General features: G+C 39.2%; 1 long non-coding RNA gene across 4 annotated transcripts in view; it reads left to right on the forward strand.

Annotated features, from left to right (window-relative positions):
- OIP5-AS1 (OIP5 antisense RNA 1) overlaps nt 1-10,912 on the forward strand; it is a 30,642-nt gene that overhangs the window by 15,269 nt on the left and 4,461 nt on the right. For 3 of the 4 annotated variants that reach the window (NR_152820.1, NR_152822.1, NR_026757.2), the window contains one exon: nt 76-8,569. This is a non-coding gene — a long non-coding RNA (OIP5 antisense RNA 1). Of the gene's footprint in view, nt 1-75; nt 8,570-10,601; nt 10,660-10,754; nt 10,877-10,912 lie in introns of those variants that run through there. The other variant, NR_152821.1, reaches the window with a different exon arrangement.

Raw genomic sequence — 10,912 nt, forward strand, 5'->3', positions numbered from 1 at the left:
TTTTAGATATTGTTTTGAGTCAGCTTATGCAAAAGTACCTGTCCTAATCTTTCTGTTTTTATTTTGTATTTCTAGGTGTCTCTATGTTGTCTCCTAGAGTGGGTAGTCCTGCTTCTTTTACCCAGTTACTTTCCCGTTTTTGAAATGTGGCTATCACTTCTCTACACATTACCTCCATGATTTGGAATGGAAAAGGCCACTTTTCTTTTTGTTCTGCCTCTCAAATTCAACACAGAGGAGCTCCTAGGATTCCAGTTATCCTGCTAACATCTCCAGGAAGAAAGAAGCAACTCACATGGGTCTTTTGCTGTTTGCTTAATTATAAAGACATCATTTTGCAAGCAGAAGGCTGAGTTTCATTTGAAACAGGTGCTTAGGTGGTGGTATTTGTGAATACTTTTCATTCCAAGCAAGAAGACTAAAGAAGTAGCAAGTATGAATGACTTCAGGGTTTAAAAAAAATGTCTTCCAGTTTCAGCCACTACCATGATAAGCACAGTTGAGACTGCAGCAGTAAATTCCAAATATGTGTTTCTAATTTGACGTGAAAGATACTAAAAATTTATATTTGTATATTTAAATCCTGGCTCATCCTGTGACATAGATTTACTGAATAGGAACAAAGGCCCAATTTTAAACAAAAACCTAGGCCGGGTGTGGTGGCTCACACCTGTAATCCCAACACTTTGGGAGGCCAAGGCAGGCAAATCACCTGAGGTTGGGAGTTTGAGACCAGCCTGACCAACATGGAGAAACCCCATCTCTACTAAAAATAGAAAATTAGCCAGGTGTGGTGGTAGATACGTGTAATCCCAGCTACTCGTGAGGCTGAGGCAGGAGAATTGCTTGAATCCGGGAGGCGGAGGTTGCAGTGAACTGAGATTGCACCACTGCACTCCAGCCTGGGCGACAGAGTGAGACTCCGTCTCAGAAAAATAAAAAACAACTTTGGACATAGAGGAGTTGGGGGCAGAGGGGGGAGGATGAGAGAATTTTCCATGTAACTCCTTTTCCTTAAGAAAAAGAAGCAAAAATCCCTCATGCAGTGCCATCTGACTTTATGGTGTTTCACATTATATAGTTACTTTTTTTAATAAACGCATAAGATTAACTCTTCCTGCAACCCAAGGTGGATACTTGGATGTTTGATTTTTATTTATTTATTTATTTATTTTTTGAGGCAGTCTCTCTCTGTTGCCCAGGCTGGAGTGATGCGTGATTTCTGCTCACTGCAGTCTCTCCCACCCGGGTTCAAGCGATTCTCCTGCCTCAGCCTCCCAAGTAGCTAGGATTACAGGCGCGCACCACCACGCTCAGCCTGATTTCTAGGCTGAAAAGGCTGGGACTCAGGTACTTTCCCCAGTTGGGACTGAACTTTCTCATCAGAGAATGGGCCTCAGAAGCAATGTTCCCAAACTTGTGGTTGGGTCATCGTGGAAAAGAAACCTCAAATAAGAAAAATAATTACAATAAGAAATGGATTTTCTTTTTTCCCACAACAGTTATACATTATAAAGAACAGACTGTCGTAGAAAACTGTCTTTGCTTCCAAATCAGCAGAGGACCATTGTATGTATTGTCAGGTCTTTATATAAGAGTGAAACCTTTATTTATGCTTCTTGTGAGTAGAGAATAAATTTTAAAACTAATTAGATGAAATTAAGAACAGAGTATTGGAACATCTCTGTGTTTTCCGGAATGTTTACTCAGGTCCATGAATGCTGTGATGCTGGGAACTTAGGGAAGATTCACCAAAATTTGAGAGTGATAAAAATGGCCTAAAATGGGAAATGGTGAGCACTCTTATTATTAGTGAGATTGGTCAATCAGCCCATTTGAAATGGGTAAAAAATACTTTCAGTAAAATAATTACATATTATATATAAAATATTTCTTTTTTTGAGGGCAGCTACTGAGTGATAAAAGCATAGTAGAAATCACTTTGGTTAAAAGTAACTCAAATTTTTCTCTTAAGTAATCTACCAACTTCCTGATGTTTTTCTTTAATATTTTGGAACTGTTCAAGACAGAATGGAGCCTACATATATGGTGTTCCACTAGTATGTTGAAAATGTCATATCATGGAGAATGGAGACACCTTCCAGGTGTCTGTTAAACCCATCTTCTCTGTGTACTTCTGGCATCTTTTTTGGTAGGATCATTTGGCAGGGGGTAGAGTACCTGTACTTTTGGCACCATTGAAACCAGCTCTGGCCCACTTGTTTGAATAGCTATCAGACTCAGCGTCTCTATATGCTTTATATACAGTTGAGAGAACCAGTGTTTAATGCTCTTGAAATTGTATCTTCCATGCTTCAGACCAGATGCATTTAACAAAATGGATATATTCCAGCTGTAGTTGCCCAGTGTTTACTTAACACATCTACATTTTTTTCTTGTCTATTTTGGTCCCCTTGATAGGAAAAGCTATAATTTTAGGCAGGACTATACGTCGATTTGTAGCCATGCTTCCTTCCTTTCCCTTGCTCATCCATGTTAGCTGGCAGTTTTTCTTTTGAAAAGTTAAAACCGGGATATGTGCAATAGAAATATATATATATATATGTATATTTTAATACTTGTGGACAAATGTTACAAGTTGTTTAAGAACAACAAAATCACCAATGTCTTCCATTTTGAGATGTGTATAGTTTTGTAAGCATTAGTGCTTGGTAGCATATTGTAGTGCCATGTTAGGGGTTAGTGCATGAGTCTAGTGATTTTAAACTTCAGGATGAATTATTGATAATAACAAATAGTGTAAAAAGAGTGGAAAATCTAAACCTTTTCTTTTTCCATAATGTCTAAATCTGTTATATTCTTCCTGGGGAAAAGAGATTAAGGCCCAAAAGACTCATTTATGAATAGAAATGTGGGGTCAAAATCTGAGATACTATATTTGAGGACATTTCAGCTTTCCATAAGGTATCTGGAAACCAGCTGTCTTTGTGTCTTATGAAACCTCAAGTCAAAATGAGACCGCATTTAATTATTCTGCTTTGCTCTTTTTTTGGGGTGGGGGGGAGATAGAGTTTCACTCTGTCACCCAGGCTGGAGTGCAGTGGCACAATCTTTGCTCACTGTAACCTCTGCCTCTTGGGTTCAAGTGATTCTCGTGCCCCAGCCTCCCGAGTAGCTGGGACTACAGGCACGTGCCACCACGCCCAGCTAATTTTTATATTTTTAGTAGAGACGGGGTTTTGCTGTGTTGGCCAGGCTGGTCTCAAACTCCTGACCTCAAGTAATCCACCTGGCCTGCTCTTTTCATGTCTTAACATGGCATGTCTTTTAGTTTCATTATTTTCCTACTCCTTGTATGTCAAGAAATTACATTTTGCATGTCTTATGGAGATGCTGTTAATTGCTTCAGTGAGTGCTTTTCTAATCTGCAGACCATTTACATTTCCTGTTTGCAGCATGCTGTGTGCAAACACTCAGTAATTTGGAGTATTCAATTATTTGTTAGGGCTCTTCCTATTTCCAAATGTGCTGAATTGTCTATTGATGGGATTTTCAGATCTTTTCATGAGAACTGGAAATGTAGCTGGGTGGCACCTACCTAGGTTGCTACGTAGTGAGTAGACTTTCTCTTGGGTATAGTAAGCCTCAGACAGCTTTCACTTTTATCTACTTTACTTGTGGAAATAAAACAGTCATTTTGTTCTGAAAGAATAAGATAGCTTTCTGTAGAGAAGGAATTCCTACCTCTAAAAGCTGCCTTGAGAACTCAGAACTGGCAGTTTTCTGAGGTGATTTTTAAATTTCAGTATTAGGGAGAGTCCAGCATTTGCTGACACAGATTCTACATAACTAATGTATGATAGCAAATGCAAAACTATTATAATGTGGTGTATCTTGCGCATACACAGGTTAGAACAAGTAGACTCTGGCAGCAGATCTCCAGAGACCCAAGTTTAGGTTCTCATAGTGTATTTGAAGTAGTTATACTCCTGGCTTAAGTAGTTTAGTGCCTGGGAGAATCCATTACTGAAAAGCATTTAACTTAAAAAAAAAAAAAAAAAAAAAAAAAAAAACTGAAAAGGTAGTGAATACAGAATAGCACAATATATAGGAAAGGATATTTCCTGTTGAAAAAAAAAGCCATAAAATTAATAGTAATTTTCAAGAGGTAGAATTTTAGTAGCAATAAGTTTGTGCATGTATAGTAATTTGCATTAGCAAGGTTGTACAATAGAATAAGTGATACTACTGGAGTTTGTGGGGCTCTGCAACCAAGAGTTGCACAAGGGCCAGGTGCGGTGGCTTACACCTATAATCCCAGCACTTTGGGAGGCCAAGGTGGGCGGATCACAAGGTCAAGAGATCAGGACCATCCTGGCCAACATGGTGAAATGCCATCTCTACTAAAAATACAAAACTTAGCTGGGCATGGTGGCACATGCCTGTAATCCCAGCTACTCAGGAGGCTGAGGCAGTAGAATCACTTAAACCTGAGAGGCGGAGGTTGCAGTGAGCTGAGATCACACCACTGTACTCCAGCCTGGTGACAGTAAGACTCCACCTCAAACAAACAAAAAATGCACAAAAGGAAAAAATGTTCTGGATAAAGAGCATATGAAAGGTACTTTCTTTTAGAACAGTATGAATGTATATGAATTTATCTTTATGTGAGAAATAATCTTTTTTGTAAGTTAAAGGTTAAAGACCCTGCTTGTTTCCTAAATCAGAGGGTTAGAGCTGTTGAAATTAAACCTTTATAGTGCTTAACCTGGAAACAAATGTACTACAGCCCCACTGAAGCCGCTCTATGGGTTTTTTGCTTACGATGTTTTAGCAACAGGCATTTATTTTGTAGAATGGTATACTTTCTGCTTTGTCTCCTCATCTTTCTCCACTGGTTTCCTGGGTACATTTTTTTTAAAGGGAGAGAAGTTTGTGAGTTTAATGTTTTAAAAAAACTCCCAAGAACATGGATAAGCCGGATTTCTCTCATGCTTATGATTAGGGAGTTAGGATTTAAAGATGCAAAGCAGAAGGACTGAAAGGAATAGCCAGTGAATATGTTTCAGTGGGTGAGGTGTGAAACCTTGTCTAATATAGATGTGTCCTATGGCCTGTGACTGCTTATTCTTTATCAATGAGAACTCAGCAAACTAGTTTCTTTCTTGATCTGAGGAACCACACAGCTCACATCAGAATATAATAGTGGAACTAGGGTGACTTCACTCCCTTTCACCTGATGTCTATCTTGGCCTTTTAGCACCTTGACTATCCCTGAAAAGACTGGGTCTTTGTTTTCCCAGGGAAAAAACGAAGTGATGTAGATCTAAGAAATAGTGCCTCTTTAATATTTAATTCTTACATGACAACTAACACACAGGGAAAAGGCTATGTTAAGTTGATTATAGCTCCTCTTAAAATGTCCTATGCTGTCAGTTGGTCTTAGAGACATGGGAATAACCAAGCAATATTCAGACATCTGCACTATCTGGGGACAGCGCTACATAGTACAATGATGTCAGCAGTTCAGTTACTTGGAACAATTAAAGATTACCCTTAACAGCCATGTTAATACATCTAAATGCTAAAATATACTACGAGTTTTTCATAGTCTTGAAAGTATACAGTTAATTACTTTTCAAAGTTACTGTGGTCTCATGTTTACTCTTCTTGTATCTGTGATATGCAAAAAGATGAAGACTCTTGGCCTCCAGGAGTTTACATTCTCATGGTGCTGTTGGTTCAAGCAGATTGCTTTAGTTTATTAATGAACATTGCTTGGCTATTAATTATATCCTATTTGGAAGGATCCCTTGGTGAACAGTTTTAAAAAGCAGAGGGCTGTGCTAAATTTCAGGGTATTGATAGCTTGAGTTTACATTGTATTAGCCCTGCTCGTTATCATTTTTTTCCCCAGGGAGCTATGCAGGTAATGCTCATTAGCATGAATCAGAAAAGAAACCATTCTGCCTAAGAGCATCTTAACCATCCCCCTAAACCACCTATGCTCTCCTGTTATAGTTGTCAGTAAATCACGAAGAAAATTAACAGCTCCTTAAGACTCTACATCCCTCAATTCTCTTTCTTTTCCCAGAGTTTGTACATCATTCTCTACTCAGATGGACCAGGATTTGCATATAAGCCTTTTAAAACTGACTAGTGGTCCTAATTTTAACATTTTTGTGTATGACTCCTATCCCTTTTCTGAAGCAGCATTGTGATAGATGTGGAGCTTCTACCTGCATTTCTAAGCAATTATTAACCCAACTTTTGAGTTGAAACTTGCATGGATCCTTGTTATGTCCCGTAATTCCTCTGAATCAAGGAATTTATTTTGCATGCTTATTAAACTCAAACTGGGTCTGATTGAAAGTGCAAGCAATAGTGACAGGACCTTAACTCTGGTTTTAGAGTACGAACATTCTAATGCATGACTCAAAATGTCCAGTGTTGTGGTTACTAGTTATTTTATATATGCATTTGTTAATAATGAAGCAATAGAGACTAAGACCAATAGCTTGAATATATTCAGATTATTTTCATGTTTTAATAAAGGATTTTTCTTACTTCCATTGAAAATGGGAAGTAGAAGATAAACAGGGGCAACCACAAGACATTCAAACTGTCAGGACTAGGGCGTAGCAGTGCCCACCCTCTAACCACTTGCCTGGTTCCATTAGTCCCCAAGCATGTTTGAAAACAAAAGACACAAACTAAGCATGCTGAATAAAACTAGCTGCTATGGCTGTAATAATCAGAAAGGTGCAGAGTTTCAGAAAGAGTAGGAAAGTAGGGAATGCCAGTATGGAGTATGTAAAATAACTAGATATGGATATGGGGTTTGTTTATGATATGCTTTATGTAGACAAAGTTTGAGGTCTTTTAAAACTGGGATTTGAGTTGAAAAGAGTCAGGATGCACATATTTCCACTATTTCAGGATTTTCAGATGACTAGGCACATGTTGTGGATGATACTGGTACCAACTACCAATGACCAACTATAAAGTACCCCTGCAATAAGGGAGACTTCCTTTTTGTAGAATAGTCCTGAAAATACTGACAGATCTGTGGTTAGTTTGTTATTTTATTGCATAAAAAACAGTTTAAACAAATTTTATAGCCAAAGTTTTATCCTTGATGGGTTTGGCCAGACTGCAATTTCTTGACTAAAGCTTTTAATGCCAGGTTAAACAGGAGAAACTTTTTCCACTAGAAGAAAATCCTTGCTATCTATTTTTTCCAATAGAAGAAAATCCTTGCTATTTATTTTATTTGATGAATAAACAAATTTATTGCAGTAGCTTAAAAAAATTTTTTTTTTAAACAGTCTCACTCTGTCGCCCAGGCTGGAGTGAAGCAATGTGATCTCAGCTCACTGCAACCTCCACCTCCCGAGTAGCTGGGATTACAGACATGCACCACCACCCTCAGCTAATTTTTGTATTTTTAGTAGAGACGGGGTTTCGCCATGTTGGCCAGGCTGGTCTTTAACTCCTGGCCTTACGTGATCCGCCCCCCCTTAGCCTTCCAAAGTGCTGGGATTACAGGTGTGAGCCACTGCACCTGGCCTGTAGTAGCTTAAAATTTTCCTTGAGAAAATTCCTGACTTTAAAAATAACCCTTATATAAGTACAAGTGATTGTGACAAATGACGTAAAAATGGCATTCATGATGTCTGAAACAAGCCTAAATAGAATTCAAGATTAGACTAAATGATTTTCACAAAGCACATTCAAGGTTTTACATTCTATGATTGAAAAAAATTTTTTGAAAACTTTTTATTTCATTCTTTCCTGTAGGATTTTGCTACAAATAACTTTGGGAATGAATAAAGTGGAATGGTAACTTTCCAGTGGTTCAGAATTGAATTAGACTTCTTGTGACTGTGATGTTTGGTTTCCATTGAAATATATGAAGTGAGATGTCATATCCTGAATATAGTTTGTCTTCCCCAATTACTTGATAGCATGTCTGTCAGCCAGTAAAGATTAAGAACAGAGTTTCTCTAAATTCCTCCGATTATTCCACTAAGGCACATTAAAATACTTAATTTTGGGAAACCAGACATCACAGATTTCTCCATGAAGTCCTAAATCTTCTTTAAAGTCAGAATAGGTATCTTAGTTACTGACAGTATTCAGGTTTTTTTCTCCCTTGGTGATATGTCATTCCATCAGTGAAAAAATATTTTCTCCCAGGGATAAGAAAGGTATTCTGGTAATACATTATCATCAATCCTTAAACAGTAACAGTCTTGGCACTTATCACAAAACCGACCCATTTCTTATAACCAGAAAGATTATCTTAGACTGTCCTTCACATTATACTTTACCTACTGCCTTGTAAGAATAAGAGTTGCTCACTGTGTTTACTTGCTGTCCTCCATATTCTCCATTGCACCATTGGTGTATAACGTTAAGAGTTTCATTGAATATTATTTTAAGTATTACAAAAGGCAGCTTGCTTCTTAATCTATGCATCTTTGGGGTTTTTGAAGAAATTTAATTCTTTGATGTAAAAAGGAACTGTTAAAAAAGTTGGAAGCTCTGCACCTGTGTATATATATATTTTAGCAATAAAGCAGCATGGGCTGAGAATGCACTGAAATCTCATTGTGTGTCGTTACTTGAAATGGGTAATTTTAAATAATGCAGTACATACTGATGATGGGAGAAGGAGCCTTTCCAAAGACCTGTGCCAAAGTACTCTTCAGATGTTAAAGAACAAAGGACCAGGTTACTTGAGACCTAGCTGTAGCAGTTTCCAGTGTGTTGTACAATGGAACAGGCAGCCATTCAAACCTCAATATGTAATGCTGCTTTTACAGCCATAAGGAGTTTTGGAATACTTTTTCTAACATATTTGTAATTGCCTTTATTTTGTGTCTCTGTGTATCCACATACATGGAGTTTAATAATAGTATTCATTGAGCACCAACTATGTGATAAGCACTGCTCTAATTACATTAGATGCATTAATTAACTCATTTAATGCTCACTACAGCTCTAATTACTATAGTTTTTATCCCTATTTTACATAGAAGGAAATTAAAACAGATAAATTGTTCCAGTTCATGGCTAGTAAGTACCCAAGCCACAGTTTCAATCCAGTTTGGTTCCAGAGCCTGCTCACTTACCAGGATGCTATATTGTGCTTCTCAAAAAATAGAAAGGGAAGAAGTATACTTTCACTCTGTATTTTGTCACACATCTCTTTTTTCTAGAGTGAGCATGTAATCTGAAAAAAATCTATTTAAAGCTAGCCAGTTTAATTTGACGTAAAGGTCAAGCATTTAATTTTATTTATTTATTTATTTAGAGACGGAGTCTTGCTCTGTCGCCCAGAGCAACCAGGGGTGACTCAATGTGGTACTTATTAGGTCTTTTTTTTTTTTTTTTGAGACGGCGTCTCACTCTGTCACCCAGGCTGGCATGCAGTGGCATGATCTTGGCTCCCCACAACCTCTGCCTCCCAGGTTCAAGCGATTCTCCTGCCTCAGCCTCCCGAGTAGTGGGACTACAGACACACGCCACATGCTCAGCTAATTTTTGTATTTTTAGTAGAGACAGGGTTTCACTATGTTGGGCAGGCTGGTCTGGAACTCCTGACCTCGTGATCTGACCGCCTTGGCCTCCCAAAGTGCTGGGATTACAGGCGTGAGCCACTGCACCTGGCCTATATTAGGTCTTATTCTTTAAAAAGTAAAAGCTTTTATTGGGCTGGTTTTTGCCAGAAAGCATCAACCTTGCTTATAGGACCAAATTTTTGCAACTCTACGCATAATCAGACCTGGCACAATGGCTCACCGCTGTAATTCCAACACTTCAGAAGGCTGAAGTGAGGATCCCTTGAGCCCAGTTTGAGCCCACAGTGAGGCCTTGTCTCTACAATTTTTTTTTTTTTTTTAATTAGCCAGGCGTGGTGACACAAACCTGTGGTGCCAGCTATTCAGGATACAGTTGGGAGGATCACTTGAGACCAGGAAGTCAAGGCTGCAGTGGGCCATGTTCACACCTCTGCACTCAGGCCTGGGTGACAGAGTGAGACCCTGTCTCACCACCCTCCCCTCAAAAAAAGCATAAGCAGGCCAGTCGCAGTGGCTCACGCCTGTTATCCTAGCAGTTTGGGAGGCCAAGGTGGGTGGATTTGCCTGAGCTCAGGAGTTCGAGACCACCCTGGGCAACACGGTGAAACCCCGTCTCTACTAAAATACAAAAAATTAGCCGGGCGTGGCGGCATGCACCTGTAATCCCAGCTACTCAGGAGGCTGAGACAGGAGAATCGCTTCAACACTCGGGAGATGGCAGTTGCAGAGATCAGGCCACTGCACGCCAGCCTGGGCGACAGAGCAAGACTCCATCTCGGGAAGAAAAAAAAAAAATTTATATATATATATTCTGCTAGCTACATCCCAGCCAAGTTAGCTTTTCTATCCTCCACCACTTGGATATGTAATTTCTTGATTGTGCTAGTGCCAAAGGCTCTCCTTAGTGGTCTGCTTGCTGTCCTTCCCACCTGTTTTCCACAGGACAACCACAGTGACATTCTGAAAAAGTAAATTTGATTAGGCAGGCCTTCTTTTAAGGACCTCATAAAGGTCATCCCTCCATCACCTTATTAATTCCTATTCGTCTTTCAGACCACCGCTGAAACTTCACTTCTACACAGAGGCTTTCTTTCCCAGAAACCCAGACCAGGTCAGTTACCTGCTTTATGTGCGTGTATCCCTATGTTCCTTTACTTCAAAACCCTTACTAGCGTCATAATTTTACATATCTTTTTTTTTTTTTAGATGGAGTTTCACTCTGTCGCCCAGGCTGGAGTGCAGTGGCACGATCTCGGCTGACTGCAGCCTCTACCTGCTGGGTTCAAGCAATTCTTCTGCCTCAGGTTCCTGAGTAGCTGGGATTACAGGTGCGCACCACCATGCCTGGCTAATTTTTGTATTTT

Source organism: Homo sapiens, chromosome 15, assembly GCF_000001405.40.
Source record: "Homo sapiens chromosome 15, GRCh38.p14 Primary Assembly".
Taxonomy (NCBI): domain Eukaryota; kingdom Metazoa; phylum Chordata; class Mammalia; order Primates; family Hominidae; genus Homo; species Homo sapiens.